The sequence below is a fragment of the Homo sapiens genome, chromosome 2 (assembly GCF_000001405.40).
Source record: "Homo sapiens chromosome 2, GRCh38.p14 Primary Assembly".
Classification (NCBI taxonomy): Eukaryota; Metazoa; Chordata; class Mammalia; order Primates; family Hominidae; genus Homo; species Homo sapiens.
The window spans coordinates 41,875,576-41,894,460 of NC_000002.12; the positions used below are offsets into that span (position 1 = coordinate 41,875,576).

At 44.4% G+C, this 18,885-nt stretch overlaps 1 long non-coding RNA gene across 1 annotated transcript, besides 1 other annotated feature; it reads left to right on the forward strand.

Moving 5' to 3' along the window:
• The first annotated feature begins 1,979 nt into the window (after positions 1–1,979).
• LINC01913 (long intergenic non-protein coding RNA 1913) lies at positions 1,980–18,471 on the forward strand. Its single transcript, NR_033996.1, has 3 exons — positions 1,980–2,203; positions 14,776–14,843; positions 16,954–18,471. It is a non-coding gene; the product is annotated as a long intergenic non-protein coding RNA 1913 (long non-coding RNA).
• Positions 13,260–13,460: a silencer, noted in NCBI's record as "peak3674 fragment used in MPRA reporter construct". NCBI's record gives its function as "represses an SCP1 promoter by STARR-seq MPRAs in K562 erythroleukemia cells {active_cell/tissue: K562}" and the evidence as "EXISTENCE:reporter gene assay evidence [ECO:0000049][PMID:32103011]".
• Positions 18,472–18,885: the final 414 nt, after the last annotated feature.

Consider the following 18,885-nt stretch of genomic DNA (forward strand, 5'->3'; position numbering starts at 1 on the left):
AGATTTTGTAACTATTTATCAATGTCAGAGGGAGCAAAGTCTTTCACATTCTATCACTCTAGCTGGATATCCCTAAAGGGTAGGTGTTTAAGCTCTTGAATCTGGCTTTTCTTTTTTTTTTTTTTTTCTTTTGAGACAAGATCTTGCTGTCACCCAAGCTGGAGGGGGTCAAGGACATGATCACGGCTTACTGCAGCCCCAAAATCCTGGGCTCAAGTTATCCTCCCACCTCAGTCTCCCAAGTAGATGGGATTACAGATATGCACCACCATGCCTGCTTTTTTTTTTTTAAATATATAAAAACAGAGTCTCATTATGTTGCCCAGGCTGGTCTCGAACTCCTGGCCTCAAGTAATCCTCCTGCCTTGGCCTCCCAAAGTGCTGGGATTACAGGCATGAGCCACCATGCCCGGCCTGAACCTGGCCTTTTAGATTACCTTCCAGCTCTTTTGCTTCTAACTGGTAAACCTAGGCAAGTTATTTAACCCCATTAAGCCTTGATTTTTCTCATCGGTAAAATACTTCCTCCCTTAAAGGACTGTAATAAAGAAAAGAGGTCAGCGATCTGTGGTTATGGGGCCAAATCTGGCTCACCGACCGTTTTTGTGAAGGCCTATGAACTAAGAATGGTTTTTACATTATAAATGGTTGAAAAAAATCAAGAAAATATTTTGTGACACCTGAAAAGGATATGACATTCAAATGTCAGGGTCATAAAGTTTAATTGGAATATAGCCACACACATTTGTTTACATCTTACCTGTGACTGCTTTTCTGCTACTACAGCAAAGTTGAATTGCTAAAACCAAGATGTTATAGCCCACAAAGCCTAAAATATTTACTGTCTGGCTCTTTACAGAAAATGTTTGCCAACCTCTGGTAAAGAGAAAATGAAGGAATGCCTAGATGTGCCTATAATAGGGCAAAAACCTTTAAAATGTCAGCTCCGATTTTCTTTTATTCATGTCTAGCTCCTGTCCAGCCATGGTATTTATGCCACTCTGTATTTGCATTAGGATAATTTTTCAGATCATTGCAAAATATGCATTCTCCTACAGAACATATAGGGATATCTATTTCTTAAATGGCATTGCTAACACACAATGCACTGACCTGACCTCACAGAAAGAAAATGGAACAACAGAGGTCCCATCCTTCCAAATGTCATCCACTGGTCTTATCCTTATGGAAATAGACAGTACACGGATCTGGAATGGAAGCAAATAATAACCGGGTCTCCAGATTCCATCGTATCACAGAACATAGAACCAAGAAAGTACCTTAGAAGTCATCTGATCCAGTCACCCCTGTTTTACCAATGAGGAATCTAGACCCAGAAGAAGTTAAAGGACTTACCCAAGAGTACCCAACAACTCTCTCACCACCCCAGGCTCCCATCTTTGTGTCTCTCCTGTGTGAGCTGTTCCCTGAAGTTCTTCCTGAACTTGCACATTGCCTTTCCCTTTGATTTTAAATCCTTGGCTCAAATGACATGCCCGGACTATATCGTGTGATATGAGCTTGAAAAGTAATTTACGTACAAGTCTTGAAAGCAAATCAAGTTTTAAAACAAAGTAGCATCTACTCTGCCCCAGCCTTGACATCTTATTACATAGCAAATGCTGGCTTTTTAATTTCCCTAATCAAGACTGGTCCTATTTAGCCCACCTCCTCAAGGGGTCCCAGCACTAGCCCCACTCCGACGCCTGATGAAGTTCCAGAACAGGTGAGAAAAATGAGAGGGCCCTGCCCAGGGCTCTGGGAGTCGGCCCTCACTGCCTGCCCTTCAGACAGCAAGACAGAAAAGGCATTCATTTTCTTCCTCCACGTCATGATACCAACCGAAATTACCTTTAAATGAGGAAGAAGGTCATTATTTAATCAATAGGATTGCGTCAATTGAGGAAAATTTGTCTCCAGTGTAAACAAGCGGAACGTCTTTGCGCTCTATAAAAACAAGGTTAAATTACTTGCAGATCCGGGCAACGTGGAGAGATGTAGGAAGTGAACCTGAAGCCTGACACACTCAAGGTCTCGGAACCGAAAATAATAGGAATTGTTCTTATTTTTCCAGTGGAATCAAGCACAGAGATGGGCACGCCTCTTTACAGAACCAAAGATTCAGAACTGTGCCTTACCCTTTGCTTATGAGGCGGAGGAGGAGGAAGAGAAAGAACCACCGCAAAGAGAGATGGCAACAAAGGTAAAATGAAGGCCGGGCAGCCGATCCCACTCAGGCTGACCACAGTGAGGGAGCAGCATTAAAATGAGAAAGGATCAGGTCTCGAAGCCCAGCCCTTCCCGCTGAATCTCGTCCTTTGCTTCATCCATTCCATTAAATAAGTCATATTGAAAATAAATTATTATTAATACAACAGTAGCTAACATTATGGGGTCTCACTCCATGCCAAGCATGCCAAACCCAGGTCATGCACGGTGCTACTCGATGTTCACAGCAGCTCTAGAGGTGGGTGCCAGTCATGCCCACTTAGCAGATGCAGAGGAGGGCAGTCGCAGCTGGAGAACGGCGGGCAGTTCTGCCTGTTTCTGAGGCCCCACTGCTTGAACTGCCAGCCTCAGAGCCATCTGCTCACTGGGTGCTCAGCCCCGTGCTGCACGCTGTGGACTCACAGGGGGAAGTACAAGCTAGGCCTGCCCCTAGGGCATCCCCATATCCCTGGCAAGAAGGGGATTTGGGGCATTTACTCCTGTTTAGGGAGAGGCTCAGCTCGTCTGGGAATCCCTGGATGAGCAGACTCTGTGCCTGCTCCTCTCCCGTACCCCTTCCCCATCCATGTCAAGGGCTTTGGCCACAGCACATAATGGGTCCAGCGAGTCACAGTCTCTCCCGGAGGCGGCCCCAAAGACCCCTTACCCACACCTCCTCGATCGCTGCTAGGGTATGAGCTGGAGGCTGTCGGTGGTGAATGGGATCTCTGTCACTCCACAGGCATCTGATGAGGTCTAAATTCCCTGCTCCCTGACAGAACTTCTTGGTGGGGTTATGGCTTCCAGGTTCTCCTCACCTACTCAGGAGACTGGGCTAACACTGAGTGAGGTTCGCTGACACCCTCTGTTCATTAACAACAGGACCAAAACCAAATAAATTTTAGCTCTGGGCTTTTGGACAGCCAGATTCCAACACTTTGGTGGTGGATCCTGACTAATGTTCCTTCCCCATCCCTCCTCCTCCCATCCCCCAACCCACCCCGCCCAGCTCCAATTCTGAAGTGTCTGAATGCGGAGTTCATAAGCTACCTTCCTTCCATGACCATGTTGCCCACACGGCCTCTGCTGAGGATCCGGGCAACACAGTCACCACGGGAGGAGGCCCTCAGTTACCCTAGCAGCGATCTGAGGAGTGTGGGCCAAGGGCTTTGGGGCCTCCTCCGGGAAAACTGTGGCAGCCCAGCCAAGACAGCAAGAGTGTGGCCTGGCCAAAAAAAAAAAAGGAAGCTTTAAAAAAAATTTTTTTAAGTGAAATGAAACATATTTGACCTGGGAAGAAATAAAAGACCTTTCAAGTTGTCAAAGTGACAAATTAGACAAAGAGGCCGAGCAAATGTGAGCTCCTGGGGAGTCCGTCAGAAGGAGCCCAGATGGAATGGACGAGGCTGGGGGTGACCAGAGGGATGCAGACAGAGGATTTATCCAGGTCGGGGTGGGAGACCAGTCAGAAGGCTGCACAAAGCTACACACAGTCTACCCTTTGTACTAGTATTTATCTAACTTGTCAATTTTATAGCCACGTTACCTTCCGAGTGTTCAGGAAGGCAGATATTGGTGCTGTCAAGAGGCCTGGCTGTGGTTTGCACAGCATAATGACAGATGCAAAAAACAAAGGGGAGGGGAGAGGGGCCTTCAGAAACCACAAAAGAGCCTTTGTAATTATGCCTCTGCCTCCCTCGGGAGCGTGCCTTTCCCTCGCTGCAGAGGTGCTCGCTCCAGGGGTGCTCTCTCCCCCTATATGCAGCTGTGCCGGGCAGCTGCACCGGGCAGCTGCCTAGCACACGTCTACCAGTCACCCTGCATGGACTTGAAGGGAGCTGTTACATGACTACCTCTCTTCCCCAGGCTAAATAGCTGCAGTCCTTTAACCTCTCTTCATGGGCCTGATTTTCCATCCCTTTAATCATCCCTGTCACTTTCTGCTGCAGCCTGTACTCACCACAGCCCTCCCCGAGAGTGGAGACACAGCCAACAAGGATCATGGGCCCAAGGGCCTCCAAGAGCTGCTCCTTTCAGACCACCCCCACCATGGGCCCACCCTGCAGCCACAGGTCCTGGGAAGCCCATGGTCATGGAGCCCCCACAGCTGAGTTACTGTGGCTCATGACCCAATTGGAGCTCTTCCCTCCCTGCTCTTGGATATTCCCCATGACCAGAAAGTCATTAAAATCCCACAGTCTCCTCTGAGCTGATTCTCACCATTTTTCTCTTCCTCTTCATTCTCAGTGCCTCACTCTTACACACTAGACCCCTGGACTATCATTTGGACCATGGAGCCAGCCCCCCAGCCAGCTTCCCTGCCACCAACTTCCCCTCCAAGACACTTAAAGGCCAGCTTTGGAAATATTTTTTTAAATTGAATGTCATTTTTATCAAGTCCTTCCCCTACTCAAGAGCCTTTAGTAGTTCCCTATTTCTTCTTGTTATAGCAGACATAAATAACTCACCAGATTTTGAGAATACTCTCACCACTCCCCCAACCCCTCTTCTGCCTATGTCCAGATCTACACTCAAAAACAGCCTTCCCTAGTTAATCTCCTCCCCTCTCTGTCCACCCCTTTACCCATCCCCATGGTTTATTGGATACTGTTTTGGGTGTCTTGAGATATTAGGTTAGGGTTCTTTGACAGCAAGCAACAGAAACCAACTCTGACTAGTTTAAGGAACAGAAAGGGATAGATTGGAAACGAATGGCATAGTTTGGAGATTAAAAGCAAGCCTGAACTACAGTCCTGGGAAAGATAGAACTGGGCAGCTCTGAAGATCTTTCTGGAACATTGCCATCAGATGATCAGCTCCAACTGCCTTCTCTCCTTATTTCTCTCTGCTTAAGATTCAGAGTTGCAGGACTGAACATCAACAAGCTCCGTGATCAGGGAGCAGAGTCCTGTGATTGGTTGCCCTACCAAAACCACTCAGGGTGGGGGAAGGTTGCAACATTTAGCAAATAAAAATACAGGATGCCCAGCTAAGTTGAATTCCAGATAAACAATGTTTAATTGCCCATATAAACACATCCCAGGCAGTAGTTCCTGATTTGTCTTCTCATTCTTCCCTTCCCTCAGTCCCACTCTGTTGCTCCCAGGTGGGTCAGCACACCCTCAGACCTGTACCTCTACCCACTCTGACTGTACCTCACTGTTAATGAATCTGTTCAGTCCTTTCAAGGTGGCTGTGAATTTTATTTCTTCCTCTTTAATTTTAATAACCGAGCTTCCATTGACTGGAAACTACACATTAACTGACACAAATAAAAGGGTGCACATGCCCTTTGGCAACCTTTATTGTTTATTTTCTCTTTAGCCTCATTGGAGAAAAAAATCAACTTTCTCCGTCTTCTCTCTTTTGCCAAATATTACAAAACAGACCTAATAACACTTTGCATTTGCATAACTCTTTAGATCTTAATGTACATTTTCACACTCATTTCATTCAGTGTCTTCACTCCTCAGTGAGTGAAGTGGTTAGTGGGCACAGGTAACATAGTCCCCCATTTTACAGATGAGAAATTCAGACGTTGAAAGGTGGGTTACAAAAGCTAGTATGCATCCAAAGTTGTGGATCCAGGACTCGGAACAATGTGTCCTTGCCTCTTTTCTGTAAAGGGCCAGATAGTAAATATTTCAGGCTTTGTATGCCAGATGGTCTCTGTTGCAACTCCTCAACTCTGCCATTGCAACACAAAAGCAGCCATACGTAATACATAAATGAGTAGATGGATGTTCCAATAAACTGCATTTGTAGAAACAGGCCAGTGGGCCATATCTGGCCCACAGGCTATACTTTGCAAACTAACCCCTGCTTTACACCACACAACAAACACTTTCCAATCTTTTTAAGTCTATCATGGTTTGCCTCCAATTGGGATGCCATAATTTTGACCTCAATCAATTTTAGATGACTAATTTTTTCTCTCCTCTTTACTTCTTATGCATCCGGATTGCTGCGACAATGACCAACTTGGCTTCCCACACCCACTTGGTTCTTCCTACACTGTGGCAAAGTTTCCTCTCATACGTGTGAATGTGCTCAGCTAAGCCCATTCTTCCTCCGCTGGGTCCTTCTTTACCCGCATATGAGATCAGTACCGACAGACCTTGTGGGGAGGCAACTTTCTAGGATGGGTCATCTTCTGAGGCCCCCAGGATTAACCAGCATACCCAGAATTAACCATTAAACAGGATTAACCATCATCCTTCTCTCTTTCCTTTACTCTGGGCTCCACACGTTTCCTCTCTTGGGCCTTTTCCATGGCAAGTTTGTCCCAGGGAAACTCATGCCTGGAATGGTAGCTCTACGACCTGGTCTTTCTGTGGCGTTTTCCTGTTGCCCACGGAAGTTGGGGACTGGGTTCAGTTTCTTCTTGAGCCTACAGAGTGAAAAGACTGGCTCAAGGGCCCTCCCTAAGAAGGGCAGGAGCTCCTTGAAGGCAAACTAGTTTAGTTTATACCCGTCACTGTTTATATATCCTGAGCTATAATGAGGGCTGGAGGCTGTAGGTGGACAGCAGCCTCCTGGGTGAAGAGGCCAGCTGCTTAGATGACTGGACTTACAAATCCTCAGCCATGCTGATGGCCACCTGGAACCTGAATTCTACATTTTGGGAGCCAGTGGGCCATGACTGATGCCTCATGAAGGGGATGCCAGGTCTTTAAGTGGGCTTCACATGTGTGTATGTCCGTGTGCACACCAGAGTGTAAAGGCAAGAGACTGTAGAGATCAAGCTGCCCAAATCGTTCATTTACAAATAAACCAAAGCCCAGTGATATCACCTTGGTTTACCATGATGCCAAGAGGTAAAAATCCATATTATCTTTATAAATAGTATCCATAAAGGTGATGATAAACTTGATCAATGAAACAGATATTTGTAACTATAAAGCTTTCTTTGGATTTTTTGTTTTGTTTGTTTTTTGAGAAGGAGTCTTGCTCGGTTGCCCATGCTGGAGTGCAGTGGTGCGATCTCGGCTCACTGCAACCTCCACCTTCTGGGTTCAAGTGATTCTCATGCCTCAGCCTGTGAGTCTCATGCCTCAGCCTCTCAAGTATCTGGGATTACAGGCACACGCCACCACACCCAGCTGGTTTTTTAATTTTTTTTTTAGTAGAGACAGGTTCTCACCATGTTGGCCAGGCTAGTCTCAAACTCCTGACCTCAGGTGATCAACCCACCTCAGCCTCCCAAAGTGCTGGGATTACAGGCATGAGCCACAGCACCCGGACGAATATCAACATAATTTAAATAAGGGGCAGAGAATATGTCCATCCCAGCACAGCCCAAAAGCCATACATGAGATCAACTTTTTCAGAAATAGTTAAGATTTGTTATCAAGATTTCCATGTGTCCAAAGGTGGAATTCTATAGAAACACCAAGAGCCTCCTCCAAATATTTTTGTAAAGCCTCTAAAAGGATCAAGAGAGACAACAAAGAGTAGAGGGCACAAGGAATACTTCAGCTTTGAATGCCCTGGCTCTGCCACTTTAAAGTTGTGTGACCTTGAGCAAATTATTTAATTCGCTAAGCCCCAGTTTTCTCATCTGTAAAATGAGCACAGTGATAGTACTTACCTCACAGAGGTAATGTAATAATTAAATGAGATAACGTATACAGACCACCTAACATAGGGCTGACAATAACTACTTAATATTCACTATTATCGTGGTGGTTGTTGTTGACACCTCAGACTTTTTGCCTTAAGTTCAACTCTAATTTTGAGTTGCCTCCTTTTTCAACTGTGAAAAAGGGATAATCATTTAACAGGAGAGACAGGCAACTAGAAGTTAGTTATGACCTGGACAGAGTGCTCTGGCCCCCTACCCAGAGCCACGGTCTGCCCCAAATAATCTCCAGGCTAAGAGACAAAGTGGCTTTTCGGAGCAGGCTTTCCTCTGCGGGGGTGGCCTCCAGGCAGGACACAGGCCGTCTGGAAGAGGTCATGATCTCAGGTAAGAGGTGCAAGGAATCAGGGGAACAGACCAGGAAATGTGAAAAAGGCTAGTGCACAGTTTTCTTTGTGGACAATCTTTTTGGCATTACGATGTTTTAGTCAAATTGTGCCCTGCTTGGAAGTCCTACAGGTTGAAGGCAAGGGAAGTCAGAATTTCTACAACAAAAAAACAAAGGGCCCAGGATAGCTCCTAGATAAACGTCATCCTTCAAGGACATCTTGGTAGGGCAGACTACCAGCGTTTGCATCAACTCATGCCATTAAAAAAAAAAAAAAAGACAAAAAAAGCAGCCCACCTAGAACTTGATTTTTCCGGGGATAGAAGAAACACACTAGACAAAACAACTCTCTCCTTTTCCCTGGGTTACTTGGCAGCAGCAGAAAACACTTGACAAAAAGTTCCAGAAGGGCTTGATATTGAGTTTGAAAAGTACAATTCCCACAACAATCACTGACTAAAGTAGCAATATTTTAGCCCTTCACAGGAATCTGGTTATTATTACCATTTATGCCAAGTATCTTGTTTCTATTCTCTTTGATTTAAGGTCATTTTCTCTGTAAAAGGCCTGCTTTGTTGAGCCCTACACACTGACGTTGGTTTCAGGAGAAAGAGGACTGGGCAAGTTGGGAAAGTATCGTATCGTGCCGAAACATTAGATGCCCTGGTTGTAAAGAAACCCTTTGTTTTTGCTCTGAACCTGATGCATTTCTCTGGTCTTCATTTCCTAGTTCGGTGCACTAATTTCAGCATTGTCCACCCTGACAATGATAATACCTCTGCTTGAGCGTGGCAGGTTCCAAGGAGAGAATCCAAGAGGTTTTACCTACCTGGACAGGCCGGGGTACAACCTGGCCAAAGGAGATCCAAGTCAATACCCATGTCTAGAAAGTCACCCTGTGACTCAGGGTCCATTGTGTAGACATCTTGTGAGAAAGGATACCAAGAGAGTGAAATATCTTGCTCAGTGATGTACTACCAGGGACAATTTTTCACCTTGGGAGATACTTGACAATACCTGGAGACATTTTTGGTTGTCACGACTCAGAGCAAGAATACTATTGCACCTACTGGGTAGAGGCCAGGGTTGTTGCTCAACATCCTACACTGCACAGGGTGGTCCCCACAACGAAGACTAACTCAGCCCCAAATGCCAATTGTGGTAAGGGTGAGAAACCCTGAGAAACACAGAGGCACCGAAAGCCCTGCATGGGCAGGCCCCTGCCCACCTGCCCAGCCTTATTTTGCCCCACGCCCCCTATTCTCTAAACCCCAAGTGCGTAGATACCTTCCAGTTCCTGACTTCACTGTGTTCCCTCAGCATATCCAACCCCTCTGCCTGCCAGGCTCTTCCTTGGCATGCCTAGTTAACACCTTCTTATTCCCTAGAGCTCACCTCAATACATACTTTCTTGAGATGCCTTCCCATCAAGACTAAGTCGAATCCCCCATTCTATGCTGTCTCCCCTTTATTCTTTCTTTTTTTCCAGGGCTTTTAAAGTATCTTCATGGGGCCAGGTGTGGCGTCTCACACCTGTAATCCTAGCACTTTGGGAGGCCCACATGAGCAGATTGCCTGAGTCAGGAGTTTGAGACCAGCCTGGGCAACATGGTGAAGTCCCGTCCCTGCTAAAATACAAAAAATTAGCTAGTTATGGTGGCGTGTGACAGAGTGAGACTCCGTCTCAAAAACAAACAAAGAAAAAAGTATCTTCATGGCTTTTCTGAATTTCCCCAAGCTCCCTACCTCTCAGCTCTTAACATCTGTGGGCTAACAGCACTAAATCTAGAGTCCCATGACTTGTGTTTCAATCCCAGTTCTGGCATACTCTAGTTGTGTGACCTTGGACAAGTTACTTTTCTGTGTCTTTGTTTTCTTACCTCCAGCATGAAGATAGTAGCAGTACCTAGCTCATGCGGATATTGTGAGGATTAAACGAGACAGGCTGATAAAGTGCTTAGGACAGTGTCAGGCCCACTGTGAGCACTGTAGAAAATTCTGCTATTATTATTACTTCGAGAATTTAAAACTGCCATTCTGAGACATGTAGCTACAAGATAAGCAAGATATGCGGCTGGGGGCGGTGGTTCATACCTGTAATCCCAGCACTTTGGGAGGCCGAGGCAGGTAGATCATCTGAGGTCAGGTGTTCGAGACCAGACTGGTTAACATGGTAAAACTCTGTCTCTACTAAAAATACAAAAATTAGCCAGGCGTGGTGGCAGGTGCCTATAATCCCAGCTACTCAGGAGGCTGAGGCAGGAGAATTGCTTGAACCCGGGAGGCGAAGGTTGCAGTGAGCCAAGATCACGCCACTGCACTCCAGCCTGGGCGACAGAGCAAGCCTCCATCAAAAGAAAAGAAAGAGAGAAAGAGTAAGAAAGAAAGATATGCAGCATATTTTCTTCCCAGCAGCACAAACCTACATCACTGTCTTTTTTTTTTTTTTTCTACCAGAGAAATCAGAGCTCAGATCATCTGAGGCAGGGGAGTCAATGTCAAATGCTTTCTATTTACAGACAGAGAAATTGAGACTCAGAGTTTAAGGGATTTAGAAAGGTCACATAGCAGGTTTTCTCTACCTGATAACTCTCTCTCTCTCCTTCCCCCTCTCTCCATCTCCCTCTGTCCTTCCCTTTTGAGATGATAACTGGCGTGATTCCTAATCTACACTAAATGAATTATTCCTTAGCAACTATCTTCATCAGACTACAGGTCCCTGCTTCCAGCCATTCTACAAAAGACCTGGCAGTTATAAAATCCAGGCTTATCAGAACAAAACACACCAAACAGAACACAGCGAGGTTTCTAAACAGAGATTTAAGGTGCTTGCACAGTATCCTGAAAAAAGAAAATCTAAGCCTGAAAAAAGTAGACCAAATGCAAATAATAACCTAAATAATAAAGAAAACACTGAAGCTGTCTCCTGCAGCTTTCTGCCATGAAATGATTCGTCCTGAGAAAGGACTAGGAATGTCCCTGCAGGGCCCCACAGGCTGGGCCACATCTCTTTAACCTTAACTCCTCCAAATCCTAGTTACCTTTTAAAACCTCCCAGCTTCTTATGACAGTTCTTACTCTTTTTCCACCCACTACGGGTTTTGGAAGCTGACTCTTTGCCAACACTGTGATGTTTTAGCCCAAAGACTTCTTGGAACCTAAGACCTCATGGGGAAGAGTGTGGAATCCAGAATGTACAGTGACAGTGGCTTCTGACCTCTTAGTCTGACCATAGCTGAGGAATGCAGCTTTGGCTGGGGTCCCACTCTTCAGGAAGCACATGAACAAACTGGACAGCAGAATAAAAGTCCAGTCGAGATAACACACCTCATCATGTAAAGGGCAACTGGTTAGAGAAGTCTTAGGGAGGAACATGAAAGCTGTTTTCAACAATCTGAAAACCCGGTAAGATTTTCAGTTTCCAGAAACATTACACGCTGAGCTAACATCGACTTCCACTCCCTCTACTAACCCATTAAAATACTGGTAATACATAGCAAAAAAAAGAAAAAGAAACAATTTTGTAAATATAGCTAAGCTCATAAAAATCAAGTAAAATTGGCTGGGTGTGGTGGTTCACACCTGTAATCCCAGCACTCTGGGAGGCCAAGGCAGGTGGATCACTTGAGGCCAAGAGTTCAAGACCAGCCTGGTCAACATGGTGAAACCCCATCTCTACTATAAACACAAAAAAATTAGTCAGGCGTGGTGGAGTGCACCTGTAATCCCAGCTACTCAGGAGGCTAAGGCACAAGAATCGCTTGAACCCAGGAGGTGGAGGTTGCAGTGAACCAAGATCATGCCACTGCACTCCAGCCTGAGCAACAGAGTGAGACTCTGTCCTCAAATAAATAAACAAAGTAAAATCTCTAGGAGCCAGAAATTAAAACTCCTATTCAGAGTGGAAAACCTCAGCTGATGTCTTGATGGTCCAAGATTATATTTATCCAAATATAAGTCCTAATGTCTAGAGGCTAGAGTTTTGATGGCCCACAAAACTTCAAATCCATACCAAACACAGATGTGTTCTACAAATTTACACTGCTTACCTGTTATATTGGTCAGGGTTCTCCAGAGAAATACAACCAACTGGACAATGAGATGAGGGGAGGGAGGGGTGGGGGTAGAGGGATGGGGAGAGAGATTGATTTTAAGGAATTAGCTCATGGAATTATCAGGGCTGGCAAATCCACAATCTTCAGGACAAGCCATCAAATTAGAGACCCAGGGAAGAGATAATGTCATAGCTCAAGTCCAAAGGCAGCCTAGAGACAGAATTCCTTCTTTTCCTTTTCAGGCCTTCAAGTGACTGGATGAGGCTCATCCACATTATGGGTGGTAATCTGCTCTACTCAATGCTAACTGATTTGAATGTTAATCACACCTTTAAAAAATTGTCTTCACAGCAACACCTAGCTAGGTGTTTGACCAAAAACTGGGTACCATGGCCTAGCCAAGTTGATGCATAAAATTAGCCCTCACAACCTAGTGTTTGAATCCCAAATCAAAAAATTCTTCTTATATTCTTAATATAAGAATTTGTCCTCAACAGTCTCCCTGGGGCACATAGAGAAATTCTAGAAGAATAGAAAACTTCTCTACAGAAGATCCTCTCTATCCCAAGGGGAAAAGCAGCTAAAGATGAATTCACAACCAAAAATTACAACCCACCTGAGGAAAGGAACCACCATAAAAAAGACTAGAAGATGAATAAGAGGATTTTCACCTGAAGAATTTAAAATAAAATAATCTGAAATAAAGAACAGAAACCATAAAGTACAAATAGAATATTGTTTCTAAAAAAAGATAAACTTGAAAAAGTAACTTCTAGAGCTTCTGTAAATAAAAGATACAGTCAAAGCATCGATTAAATAGCAGATTAGACAAAACTGAAGGAGAGGCTCAGTAAACCAAAAACGGATCTTGGAAAATTTTCCAGAATGTAACATTAAACAATTAAAAGAGAAAAAAAATACAGAGAAAATACAGGACGTAAAGGATAGAATGTGAATGTCCAACCTACATCTAATATGAATGCTAGAGGGAGAAATTGGAGAGAAGGAAGGGGAAGAAATATTCAGAGGTAATGGCTGAGAATCCTTACATTAATGAAAAGTGTAGAGCTTCAACTGAAGAAGCTCGTGGAATTCTGAGCAAGATAAATGAGTAGAAAATTACACCGAGGCTCATTATAGTGAAACTTCAGAACATGACTGACAGAAAAATTATAAAAGCATCAGGAGGCCGGGTGTGGTAGCTCACGCCTGTAATCGCAGCACTTAGGGAGGCTGAGGTGGGCGGATCACGAGGTCAGGAGATTAACACCATCCTGGCTAACACGGTGAAACCCCATCTCTACTAAAAATACAAAAATTTAGCCAGCCATGGTGGCGGCGCCTGTAGTCCTAGCTACCCAGGAGGCTGAGGCAAGAGAATGGCGTGAACCCAGGAGGTGAAGCTTGCAATGAGCCAAGACCACGCCACTGCACTCCACTCCAGCCTGGGTGACAGAGCAAGACTCAGTCTCAAAAAAAGAAAAAAAAAAAAAAAGCATCAGGAATTAAAGAGAGATATCATTCATAAGAAAAAAATAGCAGACTTAGCATCAGCAAACAGAGACCAATGGAATAATTTTTCTGTGCTGAAGAAAACAACAACTATCATTGTAGAATGCCCAGCCAAGGTTAACTATCATTCAAGAGTGGGGATTTTTAAAAAATCACATCTTCAGAAAAAGACAAGAGAATTTATCACTTCTAGAAGAAAATTGAGCTGAGAGGAAGGAGTAGGGTGGAAGAATCAGTGGTAAGTGAAGAAATGGATAAACATGTGGGTAAATCTAAACAAGAATTGACTGCAAAATAGCAATAACAATACTATCGTCTGATTTTTGTGGCATTTAAAGACAAAGCGGGGAGTGGCTCATGCCTGTAATCCCAACACTTGGGGAGGCCAAAGGAGGAGGATCGCTTGAGGCCAAAAGTTGGAGAACAGCCCTGGCAATATAAAAAGACCCTGTCACTACAAAAATAAAAAAATAAAAATAAAATATCAAAATTAGCCAGGTGTGGTGGTGTGTGCCTGTAGTCCCAGCTACTCAGGAGGCTGAGGCAGGAGGATCACTTGAGCCCAGGAATTCGAGGCTGCAATGAACTATGATCATGCCACTGCAAACCAGCCTGGGCAACAGAACAAGACCCTATCTCATAAATCAAAACAAACAAACAAGACAAAGTGGACCTAAAGTGCCAAACACTAATAACATAAAACTTAGGATGGAGTAATTAGAATAAGAGCATCCTAAGGATATACAGAGTCTAATTAACTGTAAAATTGTTACAGTAATATGCATGAATTATATATACTTATAGCAGCTAACACAGTATATAGTCTCTCTTTAATAGAATCTTGATTTTTCACAGGGCAGCACAGTGCTCAACTAAAAATACACACCTTCCCAGATTCCCTTGAGGCTGAGGTAGCAATGTATTGCAGTTCTGGCCAATGAAATAAAAACAGAAGCCTACTGGTCAACTTCCAGAAAGAATGCTTTGCCCTTTACCAATTACCCTTTTCTCTTCTTCCTACCTAAAATAAGGACAAAATGCTTGGAGGAGCAACAGACACCCTGAGACCATGAAGACAGGACGAAGTCACACACTAAGAGTAAGAGAAAAGGATAATTAAATTTTAAAACCCTGGGTGCTTAATGATATCCTTAAAGATGTGTACTAGCTCTGAACTTTTTACTCCAGTCTTCTCGTTGCGAAATAAACCCCTAAATGTTTAATCCACTGTTTTCTATGATGTACAGCCAAGTGTAAACCTAAATTGCACAGTGTGATATAGTAAAAATAAGTATTTGATCTTTGTTCCTCCTGACACACATCCCCTAAAATCCTTAGCATCTATGGAGTGGTGAGTATCTTTTGTATGTTAATAAGAGCACTGGTAGTTGAGGGCATGTGGATAGATTCAGGAGTCTTGGTCACCTGAAAGACCAAGGCATGATTAGAGGTTTGAAACTTTCAGCCCCACTCCACCCACAGCCTCCAGGGAGGGGAGAGGGGCTGAAGGTTGAGTTCAACCACCAATGGCCAATAATTTCATTAATCCTGCCTACATCATTAAACTCCCATTAAAAACTCCTACACGGAGGGGTTCAGCGAGTTTCAGAGTTGGCAAACACATCCATGTGTTGGGAAGGTGGCAGACCCCGACTTCACATGGACAGAAGTCTTGTGCTTGGGACCCTGCTGAACATTGTCCTATGTGCCTCTTCATCTGGCCATTCATCTGCTCCTCTACACAAAAGAAAACTAAGAGTCAGCAAAGTATCTTCCAGAGTTCTGTAAGCCCTTCCAGACAATTACTGAACCTGAAATGGGAGGGTGGTGGGAACTCACAACTTTGTAGCCATGTCAGACAGAAGTGGTAGTATCTTGGGCACCAAATTTGTAATAGGCATCTGAAGTGAAGGGAGGCTTGTGAGACTGAGCCTGTAAACCTGTGGAGTCTGACATTAACTTCCGTCAGTAAGTGTCAGAATTGAACTGAATTGTAGGACACCCAGCTGGTGCCCAGAGAGTTGGAAACAGTTGTGAGCATGGGGAAAAAAACCACCCATTTGGTGTCAGAAGTGTTGTAAGTAAAAACAGTTTAAAATTGGTAGCATTCAAAGAATGTTAAAAAATTTAAGGATAACCTCTCAAAGGAGAGAATTCAAATGTATGTAACTGTTAAAACAGTAGGAGAAAAAAACAGAAAATTGTCAATATACTAACAGAAAGAAAAAAGGAAACAAAAGAAGCTAAGAGATTAAAACAAAAACATAAAGATATCAATATACACCAGTCATAACTGTGTTCTAATAATAAATGTAGTAAATGTAAAGAATTAAAATTACTTGTTAAAAGAAACACTAAGATCAAATAAGAAATCCGGCCTTTTGTTTTTTCTAGTAAACACACTTAAAATATAATAACACAGAATTATTGAAATGAAATCAGAAGAAATATACCAAGTGATCATTATCCAAAAAAAATGATAGTAAGTAAAGTATCTCCCAAAGTTCTGTGAGCCTTTCTAGCCAATTATTCAACCTGAAATGGGAGGGTGGTAGGAACCCACAACTTTGAAGCCAAGCAGTGAAACAATATTAAAGTCAGAAAAAATAAAGAAAACAATTACAAAATGATAAAAAGAATTCTCCAGAAAAATAAAACAACCCTAAACATGAATATACCTAATAACATAGCCAAAAATAAAACAAAAGAAAAACTAACAGATTTGCCACCATGGTGAGGGATTTCCAGGCGGAAGGGAACAGGCTTATTGTCCTGGGTAGATGTGAAAGTAGGCTGAGACAAGTGAGTGGAAGTTATGAAGTGGAAGGACTTTGACTACATCTATGGAGGGACTTCTATAACTTTCAGAGCTGTCCAAATTGAAATTGGCTGCCTTGGGAGGGAGGGAGAACTCCAAAAACATGGTTTTCTAAGTACAATCTGTATGGCTACTTAATGAGACTATTGTCCAAATATTCAGATATCAGACACTTAGCCCCATGAGGGCAGGAACCATGACTGCTTTGTCCACCACTATGTACCTGGTGTCTGAAGCAGAGACTGGCACAGAACAGGTGTTCTTAAGTGTCCACTGTATGAATTTACTTTCCAGACAAGAAAATGGAGAAAACCACCTCTAGAGTGGCTTCTAATTCAGAGATTCAGTGATTCTTATCTACCCATTCCTCTGCTATTTGTCCTCATTCCAGTCTGAGGCCCAGGGTCACCACAAACCCGGGAGACATGAGGCCAGGCCTGAGAGGCACAGGCAGGCTGAGGAATGGACAGAAGAGCAACAGAGAAGCCTGGAGGATGAAAGCCAACTCTGCAAAGAGCTTCCAAGAGTCTTCCTGCCACAGAAATTCCACTTGGCCACAGAAATGGCCCTGGCCCTGGGCCAGGAGAGAGGTGGCGACGAGCTGCTCATGGCAATGACTTTCAGTCAGCATGTCTTACCTGTGCTTCCAAGGGTGGAGATGCCACTTTGAGTAGGTCACTGGGTCAGGCAGGTCACAAACCAAGCTCCTCCTACACAGTGAGTTCACGGAGACAGAGAGAAGGAAGGGAAGGAGGTTCTCAGCTCTACTGATTCCTTAGGTCAAGGAGGGACAGGGTCCCTGTACTTGGGGACCCTCCAGTCTGATGGGAAGATACAAGGCAACCCTCTTAGAGCCGTAGAATGAATGCCACCTATAGTTCCTCCCTTCAGGAAGGAAATCCAGTCTGATGGAAGAGACACGGCCCCTGTTGTATCATTCTTGCCTTCTTACCCATGTCACACAAGGGAGTGAAGGAGGTGGCAGGCCCAGGGATAGGTCCATTTCTGTGGTGAATGGAGGCTTTCAGAGGACATTCCCACAGCCCTGCTGTCAAGGGCCCCTTCCCCTTCCTCCCTCCCCGGCACGATGCCTTACCCACTGGAATGAATCCTGAGCTCTGAGCCTATTCCTAACACATGAATGCTGACCCCTTTGTCACGTCCCGCTTTCCCTCCAACTCTGTTTTTTGTTCTTTTTCCCACCCAGACTCGCCCTCCCCCACTTGCCATTTCCCAAGCTCATCCCGGGGAGACCAGACTCAATGGCCCACTGGTGATCTTGTTTTACATGAGACATTTCCAAAAAAGACCAAAAAATCCTTTCCAGGAAAATGCCATTTTTAAAATTCAGCTCCAGACACTGCGGCAACATTAGGAAAACAAAGGACTTGGCAGAAAGGTTTTCTGCGTGGGGACTTTCTCTCGAAAATACCTTCTCCAAATTGCCTCCAGTGGGGATGACTCCAAGGGTCAGTTCTGGAGCACCCAGGCAATTGCAGACAGAGTGACTTCGGGTTTGTACACTGTCCCAGGTCTTTCCTTACCTGATATCACCCTGGGATCTTCCAGGCTTAAACAAGGAGCCCCTTCCAAGGGTCCCCAAAGGAAGCAGCTGTCTCTGAGGGTCAAGAAATAATGCTGCTTCCTTCCTCCAGAGGGGACTCCTCAACCCCTCTCTTGCCACCATCACTAAGCCAGGGGCCCAGGTTAGGAGGTGGAGGGACATAGTGTGCTTAGTAGAGAGCTTGTCTTCTCTTATCATCCAAGTGAGAGGAATACACAGCTTCCCCTGGGGCATACATAGTGGTGTTCCCCTTTTTTGCATGTATCAGGTATAATTAATCAGGTTGACATCACATATGTAATAATAATGGCCATTATTTATTAAACACTTCCAATGTGTCCACGAGTAACCTGTTCTTTATGTTTGTTTTACCTCATTTAATCCTGGTAACGATTGTCATGGGCTGAATTGTATCTACCCACTCCCCACCACTCAACAAGACTCGTACGTTGAAGTCCTAACCCCCAGTACCTCTGAATGACTGTGTTTGGAGACACATCCTTAAAACAGGTAATTAAGTTAAAGTGAATCATAATTAGGGTGGGCCCTAATCCAATAGGATTGGTGACCTTACAGAAGAGGAAATGTGAACATTGTTAGGCACATGCTGGGAGGCAAGGACATAGCGAGAAGGCAGCCATCCGCAAGCCAAGGAGAGGGGCCTCGGAAGAAACCAAACCTACCGGTACCTTGATACTGGACTTCCGGCCTCCAGAACTATGAGAAAATTAATTTCTGTTGTTTAAGCCATCCAGTCCA